Source organism: Homo sapiens, chromosome 1, assembly GCF_000001405.40.
Source record: "Homo sapiens chromosome 1, GRCh38.p14 Primary Assembly".
NCBI lineage: Eukaryota > Metazoa > Chordata > Mammalia > Primates > Hominidae > Homo > Homo sapiens.
The window spans coordinates 30,966,356-30,982,104 of record NC_000001.11 but is presented as its reverse complement, the minus strand read 5'-3'; the positions used below and the strand labels follow the sequence as shown (position 1 = coordinate 30,982,104).

At 39.6% G+C, this 15,749-nt stretch overlaps 1 protein-coding gene and 1 non-coding gene across 3 annotated transcripts in view; both read left to right on the top strand.

Annotated features, from left to right (window-relative positions):
* PUM1 (pumilio RNA binding family member 1) overlaps positions 1-15,749 on the top strand; it is a 134,212-nt gene that overhangs the window by 83,613 nt on the left and 34,850 nt on the right. For both annotated transcript variants that reach the window (NM_014676.3, NM_001020658.2), the window contains exons 8-12: positions 700-793; positions 1,942-2,043; positions 7,303-7,454; positions 13,613-13,751; positions 14,795-14,938. In NM_014676.3, coding sequence (NP_055491.1) covers positions 700-793; positions 1,942-2,043; positions 7,303-7,454; positions 13,613-13,751; positions 14,795-14,938 — 631 coding nt within the window. The remainder of the gene's footprint in view (positions 1-699; positions 794-1,941; positions 2,044-7,302; positions 7,455-13,612; positions 13,752-14,794; positions 14,939-15,749) is intronic.
* On the top strand, positions 13,868-13,942 carry SNORD103C (small nucleolar RNA, C/D box 103C). The gene has a single exon (NR_003066.1). It is a non-coding gene; the product is annotated as a small nucleolar RNA, C/D box 103C (small nucleolar RNA).

The following is a 15,749-nucleotide window of genomic DNA, read 5'->3' as shown; positions in this document are numbered from 1 at the left end:
TTATTTTTAACATATAAAGAATAGTATCCCAGAAGACTCTGGAGCTCCCGAAAGTTGGGCAGGTGTCTTAATTTACTCATTAGGATAAGCTACTAGTTGAGGAAGTTATTCAATACCATTTTCCCAGGAAGAGGCAGCTCAGAGGATGAAGTGAACACTTTTCATATTCTTCTCCAAAATGTGAGTAGGTGAGGATTAATTCAGTTATTTGTGGGGTCTTGAAAGCACTGAAAGGAGATTCAGCACTAGGGACAATGTGACAAATCAGTTGGTAGTACATTTGTCTAATTTTTAACTTTGCCTTGGATCAGGCAGGACCTGTAGACCTGATAATCTTTAGGGCTTTTGAATGCATATATATGAGATATATAGATAGATATATAGATATAGATATAGATATCTCATATGTGTGTGTGTGTGTGTGAGAGAGTGTGTATTTGTGGTTCAGGGGACATATAATCTGTGAAGCGGTCAGCTCATGGAACCAGGACACAGTAAATTGAAGTAAAGAAAGAGAGACAGGGAGAACAGAAGTATGAAACATTTTAATCCCATGGGAATGAAGTAGAGTGTGAGAACATTTATTGTTAAGGTGTCACGCCTAAACAAGTGCTTATTAAAATTTTTAGTCAGAGAGGTTTTTAAATGATTTTGTAAGACAGTTTCCCTAACCACACCGTGTTTTTCCTCTTGCCTCAGCTGTTCCAAAGACCTAATGCGCTTGCTGTCCAGCAGTTGACAGCTGCTCAGCAGCAGCAGTATGCACTGGCAGCTGCTCATCAGCCGCACATCGGTAAGTCCTTAAGCCCATAGCTCTTTCATGATAGGTGTGGCCGCCATTTTAGGATAACTGGTTGCTGTGAAACCCAGTAATTTAAACTGATTATAAAAGTTCAGACAAATCCCTCAGACAGAGTAAGTGGCCTCTTCCTTTTGTCCAGTTGTCTCCAGCCACATTAGTTTTGACATAGCTTGTAGACCCGCATCATAACATTTCTTCAGTGTTCAGCCATTGCCCTACCTCAGATGTTTCAGGATTTAAAGTATTTATCAGAGTAATGACTGGTGACTACCATTAGCTCTTTCGGTAAGATTTGGATGACATTGATTACATAAGTTGTGGTTCTATAGACTAATATATCAGCTTCTTATTTTGTGAACAAACAGTATAAATCCATTTTCCAGTAAGTATGCATTGAAAAAATTTAAAAGTATTCTCATATAATTACCGATTTTAAAGTAGCTTTGCCCTTTTCCTTTAGCAGTTGTTAAAGTTTTGAGCGATGTATTCATCGTACTGCCTAGACGTTTCTTCCCCCTGGACCTTCTTAAGGTCTCTTAGAGTGCATTAAGTATAAACAAGTAGAAGTAGAATTTTTTTTTTTAATGTGTCAAAATGGCATGATTGAGTAGAAAGGAGATAGCTAATCTTGGATGTGATAGGCTATAGAAGAATATACTTACTTCCAACCTAAATAAATAAAGGCCAGGCATAAAGTCCTTGGGTCTGATAATGTATAGTTGTAGATGGTAATCTTTATAAATACCCATACATTTTATTTCATGAAAACTGTTTGGAAAATTGTTTTAAATAGAAATAAATACTTCATCCCATTTTAATATTAGTCTTTAAAATTGTTCTATTGTAGGCTGTTACAATTTTAATAATCTTTTAGAAATGCTGAATTTATAACTATATACAGTTTTAAGTTAAATATTTCTTTAGCAAAGGTAAAATTTGACTATATAAACATTTCATTATAATCTTTAGTATAGCAGTTATCTTTTTAAAATTTCTCTTTACCCTCAACCTGTCCCGTCTTCTCTTTTTTCATTTTTTCCTTATCTACTGTCTGGAGTGAATAGCGAAACTGTGTAGGTATTTGATAGGGCTGCAGTTTTAGTCAAGTTTGTTTTTACTGACAGGTATGTTTTCAGCAGGTTTAGCTCCCGCTGCGTTTGTCCCCAATCCATACATCATCAGCGCTGCTCCCCCAGGGACGGACCCCTACACAGCTGGATTGGCTGCAGCAGCGACACTAGGTGAGACATTCTGCTGCATGAGGGATTTTCTCACCTGCTGAAAAGTCATTTGAGATGGGCGTGCATTCTTTATACTCTTTCCCAAATCCATGTCTCCAGTGGAGATTATCCAGATTTTCAATGCCATCTACCTGCCAGCTTAATATCTCTCCGTAGCTGTATCATAGGCCCCTCAGACTTGAAAATGTTCAAAGGCAAATTAATCACATACGCCTTGCATATGTGTTTTTGATCCATGGAGCCACCAGATACTCATTTATATTTTGGGAATTTCCCCCCTTGCCCAGATCTCCTACCACCTCTAGTCTATCATATAGTTCAGGTACTTTTACTGGTCTCTAATGTATTTATAATTTCCTTGCCTCTCTCACCTCCTCTTCCCCTCTAAATTGTTCAAGAAAATGATTTCAAACTTAGATCTTACCTCTTCATCTTTCTGCTTAAACCTTTTATTGATTTCCCTTTTTTCTACCCTAGTATGTCATACTACAGTTATTACCAAACATGGCTGATCATTACAACTTACTTGGAGTCGGGGTGGGGGTGGTGGTGTTTTGTTCCTTGGAATCAGTATTTTTAAGGAGCTTCCAGATAATTCTGTGGGTTAGCTAGGGTTGGGACCCACAGTATATAGGGCTCTATCACCATGCCTCATACATACAGGTCTCTACATATGTACCACCCAATTCCCTTCCTAGTTGACTGCCATTGGCTAACACCATACATTGTAGCAGTACAGATCTGATTTTAGTTTGCTGCAGATACTGCATTGGTTTAGGCCCCTGTCTTTGGTCACTGTGGTCTTCTGTAGTAAGCTCTTTTTCCCATTCTTTGCCTGTGAAGTGCCCTAGTTGGCTAATTACTGCACTGTTTTTATTTGCTTGTGGGATGTATACATGAGTTTTTTCCCCTCTTTTTTTTTTTCTCTTTCTTTCTCTCTCTCTCTTTTTTTTTTTTGGAGACAGGATCTCACTCTGTTGCCGAGGATGGGATGCAGTGGCGTGAATACAGTTCACTGTAACCTTGAATTCCTGGGCCCACTGGATTCTCCTGCGTCAGCCTCCTGAGTAGCTAGGGCTACTGTGCATCACCACACTTAGCTAATTGTTAAATTTTTGGAGAGATGGGGTGGTCTCGCCAGCGTTGCCTAGGCTGGTGTTGTGTCAAATTCTCGGGCTCAAGCAGTCCTCCTCCCTTGGCCTCCCAAAGTGCTGGCATTCCAGGCATGAGCCACTGTGCCCAGCCTATGAGTGTTTTTTTCTTTCCCTTGAGACTAGATTTTTAAAAGACAGGCATCTTTGTTATTTGACTGTGTGTTGCACAGTTACCGTCACCGTGATGGGACCATAAATGTATGATGGGTTGAATTCAACATTAGGACAAACAAAATGTCTTCCAGTTTAGATATTCACTGGGGGAAGATCCCTCCAAGTCAAGTTCATCATGACTAAATATTACTTCGAAATTTTACTACTTATTATGTAACATGTAATTTGCAATTATGAACTTAAATGTAGCCTAGCATTTCTTAGATTTTTTAAAAAATTGTTTACATTTTGGCATGGTTATGATGGGAAGATAGTTAACATAGGGTCATCTGGCTGTCCGTGGTCATCCCCCTTTTGGGGGAAAACAGAAAGCTCTTCGTAGGAGAATGATCTCTGCTAACCATCATTAATATTTATTGAGCACTTAACTTTTGTCAGGCATTGTCCTGAATGCTTTTCTTTCATATGATTTTTCAGATGATGATTTTAGAGATTAGAAATTTGTGGCTCAGACAGCTGCCTTATTTGTTGTTTTTTGTTTTTTTGAGACTGAGTCTTGCTCTCTCGCCCAGGCTGGAGTTCAGTGGTGCGATCTCGGCTCACTGCAGTCTCTGCCTCTTGGGTTCAAGTGATTGATTCTCCTACCTCAACCTCCTGAATAACTGGGACTACAGGCACCCACCACCACGCCTGGCTAATTTTTGTATTTTTAGTAGAGATGGGGTTTTGCCATGTTTGCCAGGCTGGTCTCAAACTCCTGACTTAAAGTGATCCACCCTCCTTGGCCTCCCAGAGTGCTGGGATTACAGTTGTGAGCCACTGCGCCCAACCTAGAGAGAACTGTCTCATTTGAAGTCACACAATTTAAATGTTGTAGAGTTGGGGTTTGAACCAGGTTTAACTCCAAAGCTCATGCGTATGCTTCACTATAGTATATAGAATGCCTGTGCTGTCTGTCTTGAATTGTCTTTTCTGTACTTTCTTTAGAAGTCTTTACTAATTTATGTTACTTGAAACAAAGAACTGGTCTTAGGGTTGACACTGCTGCTGTCACTGAGATGGTAGTTCGGTGATCAGAATCTTGTTTTTTGTATATGTCAGTTGAGCCAGGGTGAAAATGAGTTAATACTTTCACAAATAACAGGAAATGTTAACTGTTAAAACTATGAAAATGTGTATTCTTTGAGGGTGTCAGTCACACAGGAATTGAAGTGGGCATCCTGATGTGCCAAGCTCAGTTGATTTGCCCTGGGATGTTTTCCTAAATTTAACCTTAGGCCATGTGACCAGCGTATAGTAGTAGAAATGCCAGTTGAGAAAATTTAGAGAGTAATGCAGATGTTAATGGTAATAGCAGTCCTTGCCCAGTAGAGGCTCGCTTTTGTTGGCTTTTGGGAGAGCGTTGGGACTATTATTGCAGGTTGCAACCACTCATTCAAGGTAGATACGGCTGTACTCCCAACATGTATTACAGGTTGAGCATCCCTAATCTGAAAATTCAAAATCTTTTTGAGTAGTAACATGACACCATAAGTGGAAAATTCCACACTTGACCTTGATCTCATGTGATGGGTCATAGTCAAAACCACAGGCACATAACACACAGTTCATCTATTCAGCATCCCCAAAGGAAAAGTAAAATTACCCCCAGGCTATGTGTATAAGGCATATATGAAACGTAAATGAACTTTGTGTTTAGACTTGGGTCACATCCCCAAGATAACTCTTGGACACACACATAGTCTACAATCTGAAATCGGTAACACTTCTGGTCTCAAGCACTCTGGTTAAGGAACACTCTACCTGTTTACCCATTTTTACAGGTGAGGAAACTAAGGCACAGTTAGGGTCTTTTTTGTGTGTTTTTTCTCTTATTTATTTCTTTAACTGCCCAAGACCACCCTGCTTTATAAACACTAATCAAATGAGTATGAGGCTCTATCACTCTTTTTTTTTTTTTTAAACTTGAATACATGGCTTTTAGGCCGTTCAGTTTCTGACAAATTAAAAAATGTTTTAACCCCTTTTCTTCTTATAGTAAAATAGTTCATAGTGTAACAGCTTTTCTTAGCAACACCTTTATTCTGTACCCAGGTATAGTGTTTCAGTGTGCACCCTTGCTTGTAAACAGCTTCTTAATCTTTTCTAAGCCCACAGGTATAGAAAACACCAAATTAGAAATGTCAAAACATATTTATATTGGGCAGTGGTACAATTTGACTTATTTGTGTTTTGGAAGCTTAAAATGGGGGAAACAAGAATATGTGTCTATTTATTTTGGCTTAATGAATTATGTGTTTCTCCAGAATTAGCTGTAGCATCAGAGTAGCTGTAATATTTGAAACAGCTCTTCAGAACTTCAGTCAGTGTAAGGAAGGTTTGGTTACTGTTAATGAATCAAGTTGGAAATATTTAACTCTCTGCTTTAAGGAAGTTCAACTTGGAGATATGTTTCAGCAGATTTGAAGAATTGACTTTGAGCCCATTTCCTGGTTAGCAAATGTGTCTTTGGTGTTTCTTGCTACCAGCTTCGTCATAGAATTCTATAATTAGATTTCTGCCACACTTGGGTTGATATCTGCATAATTTTGTTATATCTCTGTTGTGTACTTTATGTGGCCGACTGCAGCTGTACTTTGTTGCCAAGGAAAATGAACAGATAATTTGGATTAAAGCAGAATGCTTAATTTTTTTTTTTTTTTTTGGAGACACACTCTTTGCTCTGTTGCCCAGGCTGGAGTGCAGTGGTACAATCTTGGCTCACTGTAACCTCTGCCTCCTGGGTTCAAGCAGTTCTCCTGCCTCAGCCTTCCGAGTAGCTGGGATTACAGGCATCTGCCACCACGTCCGGCTAATTTTTTATATATTTTTTTAGTAGAGATGGGGTTTCACCATGTTGGCCAGGCTGGTCTCGAACTCCTGACCTCAAAGTGATCCACCCAACTTGGCCTCCCGTAATGCTGGGGTTACAGAGAATGCTTAATTTTGTTTAAGGTTCTCAACAGGTCTGTAACAAGTCAAGGTGTTGTATTTTTTGTTTCTATTTGTGTTCAACGTTGACTTAAATTTAAAATTTCACATATCAGTGTCTGAATGTAGTTGTGTTGAATGCCTTTGTGACTTTAAAAATAGAAATAGGGGCCAGGCCTGGTGGCTCAAGCCTAAAGTCCCAGCAATATGGGAGGCCAAGGCAGATGGATCGCTTGAGCCCAGGAGTTTGACACCAGCCTGGGGCAACACAGACCTCTACCAAAAAAAAAAAAAAAAAAAAAAAAATTAGTCAGGTATAGTGGCATGCATCTGTAATCCCAGGTATTAGGGAGGCTGAGGTGGGAGGATCACTTAAGCCGGGGAGGTCAGGGTTGCAGTGAGCTGAGATTGCCTCATTGCATTCCAGCCTGGGTGACAGAGAGACCCTGTCTCAAAAAACAAAAAAACAAAAAAAACAAACAGTAACAGCAACTTTGAAGTTGCAGTGGAGGTTCAGTTGAGTGTCTAGGTTTTGTTGTCAGACTGATAGATGTTCTTTTTCTGGAGTTAATGAAACAACAGCACTCCGTTAAATCACCTTAGGTGCCATTCTTATCATTGAACATAGGATACATCCTAACCTTTTGTTCTATTCCATCACTTTAAGCACGCAAACCCTCCATTTACTCCCTTCTACCAACAGATATTGTCTCTATGCTACATCCTCCATCTGTTATTAAATTGAACCCCTTCTATCAGTGATTCCCCCTTTTAGTTTTCTAATGTTTCATTCCCCACTGCTTCTTCCTCTAGGCCTGGATTATATTAGAAGACTGGTGTAAGGATCTCATATAATGTTTACTATTCTTTAAAAAGAGTTAATGATTAGCTAGCATAAATTAATATATACTTTTAAGTTAATATTTTACAGTAGGATCTATTGAGTCAGATGTAATTTTGGAAAGGCTGAGATGAGCCTCAGTAGTTCAGACTTTCTTTACCTTTCTTTTGCTATTTTTAGGCCCAGCTGTGGTCCCTCACCAGTATTATGGAGTTACTCCCTGGGGAGTCTACCCTGCCAGTCTTTTCCAGCAGCAAGCTGCCGCTGCCGCTGCAGCAACTAATTCAGCTAATCAACAGACCACCCCACAGGCTCAGCAAGGACAGCAGCAGGTAAATGTAGACAAAATTTACCTCTTCTAAGTGGGAATCGTAGTATTGTGGATAATTAATAGGTAATATTGCGCCTAATAGAAAAACACTGTGAATGCATGAATTTCCTCTTGTGTGTATATATGTGTGTCTGAGTTCAGGCTCAGATTTAACTACTCTTACGGAATGTCTTTTATATATTAGACACTATTGTACCTAGGTGGGGTAACGATACTAACCAGTTCACCTATAGGGAAATTGCTTAGCTGCAAGTGGCAAAGTGGATCTTCAAAGTTACAGTAAAATTTTGTTCTGCCATACTGTAGTTGCTTGCTAAGCACCACTTTCAGATCATTTCAGGGTTTTGCAAGGGGCTTGACACTAAAGCAGGGGTACTAGATTTTTAGACTGCTTATTTGTAGTACCTATTGGATTGGATTGGATGTAAATCTTAAACTATCATATCTGCATTAGCTTTTTATTTGAGTTGAGAAAGGACGGTAAACTGCAAAACTACATCTTTTATTTTTTTAAACAGGTCATTTCCTCCTTGATTGCTAGAATAACACCTTTTTTTTTTTTTTGAGATGGAGTCTAGCTCTGTCGCCCAGGCTGGAATGCCGTGGTGCAATCTCAGCTCACTGCAATCTCCGCATCCCGGATTCAAGCAGTTCTCCTGCCTTAGCCTCCTGAGTAGCTGGGATTACAGGCACGCTACACCATGCCCAGCTAATTTTTGTATTTTTAGTAGAAATGGGGTTTCACCATGTTGGTCAGGCTTGTCTCAAACTCCTGACCTCGTGATCCACCCGCCTCGGCCTCCCAAAGTGCTGGGATTACAGGCGTGACCACCGTGCCTGGCCAATAACACCTCTTTATTGATAGAAACTGTGGTAAACTAGAAAACTTGAAAAAAAAAATTACCCTAAATCCTTATGTCAGAAAACCAATGCTATTATGTTTGGTATCTGTTATTTTAGCCTTATTATTTAATATTTTACAAAATTGTCATTATTGTGTCCACGTGGTTTTACATTCTGATTTCATACTTTACTGTGTTATTTAGTGTTCTTTTAAATGACATTTTTACTAGGTACATTTAAATCCACCAAACGATACTTTATTTTGACTAGTCTATTATATTTGATATTTCATTTGTATCAGTATTTTGGTGTTTTAAATGAGATTGATTAACATCCTTTACATAAGTTTATCCTTGGAAAAAATTCCTAGTAATGGAGTTTTTCTGGAGCAAATAAAATCAGCACTTAGGCTTCGATACGCATTGTCAGATAAAAGCTGTCATTTGAGACAAAACACCCTGCTCATATATGAATATATTAAATGATCCAAACAAGAATTTTTTGCTTGACATCAGTCTTACTCAGAGGGTGTATGTTTAATTTTTTTTTTTTTTTTAGATTCCACACAATTACAGAAAAAAAAAACAGGTCTTGAAATTCCCCCCGTTATTTGGACACTATTAAATGATTTTCTTGGCAACAGATACAGTTCTTGTACCATATATATAAGGAAATTCAGTAAATAATTTGTTGACAGAATGAGTGATCTGTTAAAATAAATTTGTTTTGAGACGGAATTTTGCTTTTGTTGCCCAGGCTGGAGTGCAATGGTGCAATCTTGGCTCACTGCAACCTCTGCCTCCAGGGTTCAAGCGATTCTCCTGCCTCAGCCTCCCAAGTAGCTGGGATTACAGGCCCCCACCACCACGCCTGGCTAATTTTTGTCTTTTTAGTAGAGACGGGGTTTCACCACATTGGCCAGGCTGGTCTCGAACTCCTGACCTCAGGTGATCCACCCGTCTCGGCCTCCCAAAGTGCTGTGATTGTAGGCCTGAGCCACCACGCCTGGCCAAATTTCTTTTTTTGTTTGTTTTTTTTGAGATGGAGTCTAGTTCTATTGCCCAGGCTGGAGTGCAGTGAGCTCTTGGCTCGCTGCAACCTCTGCCTCCTGGGTTCAAGTGATTCTTCTGCCTCAGCCTCCTGAGTAGCTGGGATTACAGGTGTGTGCCGCCACACCTGGCTAATTTTTGTATTTTTAGTAGAGATGGGATTTCACCATGGTGGCCAGACTGATCTCGAACTCTTGACCTTCAGTGATCCACCCCCCTCGGCCTCCCAAAGTGCTGGGATTGCAGGCATGAGTCACTGTGCCTGGCCTATTAAATAAATTAATTTCTCTTCTCTTCTCTTCTCTTCTCTTCCCTCCCCTCCCCTCCCCTCCCCTCCCCTCCCCTCCCCTCCCCTCCCCTCCCCTCCCCTCCCCTCCCCTCCCCTCCCCTCCCCTCCCCTCCCCTCCCCTCCCCTCCCCTCCCCTCCCCTCCCCTCCCCTCCCCTCCCCTCCCCTCCCCTCCCCTCCCCTCCCCTTCCCTTCCCTTCCCTTCTTTTCTTTTCTTTCTGACATAATCTTGCTCTGTCTTCCAGCCTGGAGTGCAGTGGCGCCAAGTTTGCTCACTGCAACCTTCGCCTCCCAGGTTCAAGCAATTCTCGTGCCTCAGCCTCCCTAGTAGCTGGGATTACAGGCACGTGCCACCATACCTGGCTAGTTTTTGTATTTTTGGTAGTGACAGGGTTTTACCATGTTGTCCAGGCTGATCTCGAACTCCTGACCTCCAGTGTTCCACCCACCTTGGCCTCCCAGAGTGCTGGGTTACAGGTGTGAACCACTGCACCTAGCAAATAAATTTCTTAATAACTGCTCTTTGTGGATAAGTCTGTATTTATTTGTGTGATCATCTTTTTGTTTAAATGGCTGCCAAATTATTATGCATTTGGAAGACTAAAGTAATTACCATGTTTTAAAATTAGGTCTAATACAGTGAACAAGAATAATACTAATTGCTGTTTATTGAAAGCTTTCTGTGCAGAGTTAAGTGCTGTACATGTAATTTCTATTTCTCTTATTATGATAGTTGTACAACTTCTTGTTTTATGAAATAGAATTTCATAATTGAGAGGAAATCGATTGAGGAAATACAATTTGTGTGCCCAGGGTCACACAAATACAAAGTTGTTAAGATTTGAACATAAGCCTCTGTCTTGACAACTTTTCTTCTGACCATATTGTGATGTCTTGACTTAAAGAAAATCTGAGATCTTGTGTTTCTTCTGCCGTTAACTAGCTTACAACTAGGGCAAGTTGGATGGCTTCTCTAAATGCATATATTTTTGTTATAAAATGGACATAATAATCATTAACTTTTCAGTTTTCTGTCATTCCCTACAGGTTCTGTCAAACCCTACTAAGAAGTTTTTAGCATTAGTTTTTAATTAGCAGCCATTGTTTTAGTTCCTTTTTTTTGGGTGCCAGTTTCTGATTTTAAGTATTTGAGGAAAATATGATTTTTTTGGTAAACTGCCTTGTCATAGTAATTAAAATGAGAGGTTCTTTTTAAACTTTGCTGTTGGCCTTTTGGGCCCTTGTATTTTATCAGAAAGTATATGTTGCGTTCTAGTCAAGCTGACTGTTCTAGGATAGTTTTTATAAATTCAGTCATTTTGTGATTTATTAGACTTTAAAATGTTACTTGTGAAACTGTATATTTTGTTTCCATAAAATCATGGATTTGACAGCTATTGATGAAATGAAAATATATGAATTTTGGCAGATAACTGAAGGACTTTTATTTGTAGTTAGGGGTACTGGACAGATTTCTAGAGAGTGGACAAAAAGCTAACACTGTTTTCCTTCCTTATTACAAGACTCATCAATAGTCTTAGACTACCTCTTTAGGTACCTTGTCCACTCTACCACACCTGCCCTTTCACAGAACACCTAATCAAACATAAACCTACTTCTTTATATTCTGTGAAAGCAATGCTTTCATTGTTTTTTAAAATCTTCAGCAATTTTGAACTATTAGCATTTGCCATATTTCTGTGCTTGCTATTTACTTATCCTAGAGTGAGATCTCTTCTGAGTTATTGGGTATGTAAATTCTAAGTATTTGGCAAAAATGCTTGCTATTTACTTATCCTAGAGTGAGATCTCTTTTGAGTTATTGGGTATGTAAATTCTAAGTATTTGGTAAAACTCACCTGTACAGCCCCCCGACTCTTCTATCTACGTAGTTTGAAACACACTTTCTCTTACAAAGTTGGTTAGGTTCTTTAGGTCAGAAACAAATTATATAATATCTTGATAATAGTGATTTGCTATTGGTTATTGATGATCTCCTGGGTATCAGGCAGTGTGGCTTAAACACATTATTTGAGATATTTCCAGCAAATCTGCAAGATCATTTGTTAATTCTTACTTATTACTGATATAGAAGTAAAAGATTGGGCAAATTAAGTGTCCACACATCCCTTCTTGCCAGTGTGGACAGTGTTGGTCACCTTATACTCACTTAACAAATATTTAATTGGTTATTAGTGTTGCTTCTCTTTTTACATTTTTTTTTTACCACTGGTACCAAGAATAATTTGTACCCATTTTCTTGACCATATGTCTAACTTTTATAAATAACACAGTGAAATTGAAAGTGATCTGATAAGAACTGTACACTTGACAATATGACAAAACACATTGTTAGGAACTGTAGTAATTTTAGCCTTGGTTTGTGGGTTTTGCATTTTTGCTTGCTGGAGTGTGTAGATCTTGTGAGATAGATTCTTCACATCATTCAGAATAATAATGATTGCTAGCATTTTGATGTCTGTGTTTCATTAATAAAAAGTAGATCCTTGACTGGGCTCAGTGGCTTCACACTTGTAATCCCAACACTTTGGCAGGCCAAGGCAGGTGGATTGCTTGTGCCCAGGAGTTAGAGATTAGCCTGAACAACATGGTGAGACCCTGTCTCTACAAAAAATAGAAAAATTAGCCAGGTGTGGTGGTGCATACCTGTAGTACCAGCTACTCAGGAGAGGTGGGAGCATCTCTTCAGCCTGGGATGCAGGGGTTACAGTGAGCTGAGACTGTGCCACACTACACTCCAGCCTGAGCAGCAGAGCATGGCCCTGTCTCTTCCCTGCACTCCGCGCCACCCGCCGCCCACCAAAAAAAAAAAAGTAGATCCTTTATCAGAGTGGCATAACTGGTATTCTGCACTGAACTTGACTAATGCGTATGTTTGTGGAATTTCTGAGAGGGAAATAGAAATAGTCAGGTGAGAGCCCTACCAAATCGAATCTGGTGAACTCATTTGGGGCCATGTGGACCTTGATAAATATATTAGTGTTAAAGAGGAAATATTCTCATTCCATCTTTTGTGTGCATGTGAGACTCAGTTGACTTTAAATGTGTGGGTAAATTACCCCTGTTCATCTTGTCTGGAACCCCTCCCAACCCCCATTAATACTCTTTTTTTTTCTTTTTTTTTTTTTTTTTTTTGTGTGTGTGTTTTGAAATGGAGTTTTGCTCTTTTTCCCAGGCTGGAGCGAAGTGTCTCGATCTCAGCTCACTGCAACCTCCGCCTCCCAGGTTCAAGTGATTCTCCTGCCTCATCCTCTCTCGTAGCTGGGATTATAGGCACCTGCTGCCACGCCTGGCTAATTTTTGTAGTTTTAGTAGAGACGGGGTTTTGCCATGTTGGCCAGGCTGGTCTCGAACTCCTGACCTCTGATAATCCACCTGCCTCGGCCTCCCAAAGTGCTAGGATTACAGGCGTGAGCCACCACGCCTGGCCTGTTACACTCTTTTTTTTTCTTCACCCACTTTTTGTCAGAGCACTGACATTATATAGTATGGTTTATTGTCTGTCTCATTCGTTAAAATAAAAGCTCCATGAGGACAGGGGCTTTGTCGGTCTTGTTCATTGCTCTGTCTCACTTGCCCATTTGCCACATGGTAGGCATTAAATATTTGATAACACTACCACTTGCTGATGCCAGATATTCCAAATTCATCTTTTAACTTAATTGTCACAAGAACTTTATGAGGCAGATGAGATAAAATGTTTGAATGAATGAATCATCACTTTTGTGTGCTTTTTGCTGCTTATAGAGATAATGTGTTTAAAGTAAGAATGGTAGAATGAAATTCCACTCTATGAAATGTTATTAATTGAATTTATACGCTAACAGCTGTGACATATAAAAACCATTATAGGGAAACAATTTACAATTAAGTTTTAAAAGTTGACCCAACCTGAGCATAGGGTAGGTCTTCTCCAATGAAAAGAAAGTGGTTGAGTTATTTCTGTCTTCCTTTCCCAGGTTCTCCGTGGAGGAGCCAGCCAACGTCCTTTGACCCCAAACCAGAACCAGCAGGGACAGCAAACGGATCCCCTTGTGGCAGCTGCAGCAGTGAATTCTGCCCTTGCATTTGGACAAGGTCTGGCAGCAGGCATGCCAGGTGCGGCTGCATTGTTATTCCTAATACTTTGGCAGGGAAAAAGGCTGCACGTTTGAGGTGATTACAGAGGGGAATGAGCAGTGCTTTCACCTTGCTTAGGCTTGTCATGATTTGGGGACTGGCAAGGATGATACACACTTGCCCTCACTTAGACTATAGTTCACTGATGAGAGCATTGTTCTGAGCCAGTCTTAAGTCATATTGGAGGTATCTAAATGTCCATGCAGCTTGGAATATGTGGTTTTTCCTTGGTGGATTATCTGTTTTCTGTTTCAGAATCAGGGATAGATGGAGTGGCCAAGCTAGTTTACAAGGCTTAGTCTTTATGTTGATGTTTTTGAACAGCATGATTAGTGAGAAATTTCTGGTATACCTTGATAGGGTCATCCCTTACGTTTTTAAGGTTTCTCTTAAACCAATAGTAGGGGTCCTTTTTAGCTGTCTACCTCTGAGATACATGTTTATATAGATACATCTTGAATATATGTTGTTTTTGGTTCACTGTCAGCTGGTTTGGTGCTTTGCATGGGATTAGATGTACTTTGATGTTCTACATGTGAAACAAGTCTTTGAGAGATGTCAGCGTATTTTTATGGACCTTTACTGATCATAGAGCATAGCCAATTTAACTGAGCCATTTATGAATTCAATAAATAACTTTAACCTGTTTCATTTGTTTTTTAGTTACTGAGCCTTTGTGTGTTCTTAGGAAGTCACCTGCAGTTTTTCATATGGCTTAAACTGGGATTTGGAGATTCTATCTCACATAATATTGAAAGATCATGTTATTTAAAGCCTATCTAGGTTTTTCCTGCTATTTTGCAGGATATTTGTTCTTAAATTATTATGTAGTATGAAAGTACTATGATTTTTATAATCATTTGTAGCCTCTGTTTATTCAACTATTTAAGTGATGGAGCCAGTATATAAATCTGGCCAATTCAACCTCAAAGCTGAGTTTGTGATTATTGACAATATGTTGGTGCCCAGGAGATACTTGTTTGTTTAACATATACATTTCTTTGTTGGCTTGATATTCCTAGGTTATCCGGTGTTGGCTCCTGCTGCTTACTATGACCAAACTGGTGCCCTTGTAGTGAATGCAGGCGCGAGAAATGGTCTTGGAGCTCCTGTTCGACTTGTAGCTCCTGCCCCAGTCATCATTAGTTCCTCAGCTGCACAAGCAGGTGAGCGCACATCTGAGTGGACTCCTGCCAGAGATCTAAAAGTGGCGACTGATAGTGAGATTCTTAAAGTATGTTGAAATAAACTTTTGGCAATTCTCAGTATATCGGTTCTACCCTGTAATGTTTCAAAAAGAGATCAGAAGCAATAAGTGACCTTAGTGGATTCTCCTTTTTGTTGGGGGGTTGGTGGGTTGGGGGAGGGGTGGCATGTGCCAGCTGGTTAGAAGCAAGGTCTGAAGGTCTGGCTCCACTGAGAACATAGAAGTTGCATTACTCACACAAAATGGCTTTGTTGGCAGAAATCCAAGTCATTATTTTAAGATAATTTTAGAGGAGGGGTTGTTTTTTGCCACAGGGGCAGGAGTGGAGGACGTGGGAAAGAGTAGTGAGAAGTGACAAAATAATACATTTGGTTGGGAGGAGTAATAGTTTTTTACTTTAAGTGTTTATATTTATTTATTTTTTAATTAAGAACAATAACAGGAACATCTAGAAGACAGCAGTGTGCTAAAATAGGAATTTGAAGGATGTGTATGTGCATTACATGGTTCTAGAAGAAACCCTCAACATAGATATTTATGGAATTTAAGATTTTAGGAAGTAGTTGTATTTAATGGATACATTTGATGTTTATACCCCTTTTAATCTGTATACTCTTAAAAGCAACCAGCATAGTGAACTTGTTCTAGTGGTATTTTGAGTTCAAATTGAAAGTAGAAACAGAAAATAGAAGCTTCATATGAAGGGATCAAAGACAGATTTGTATGGTTTGTGTCTGTTTTGAAAAGATAGGCAGCATTAAAAGATTTTT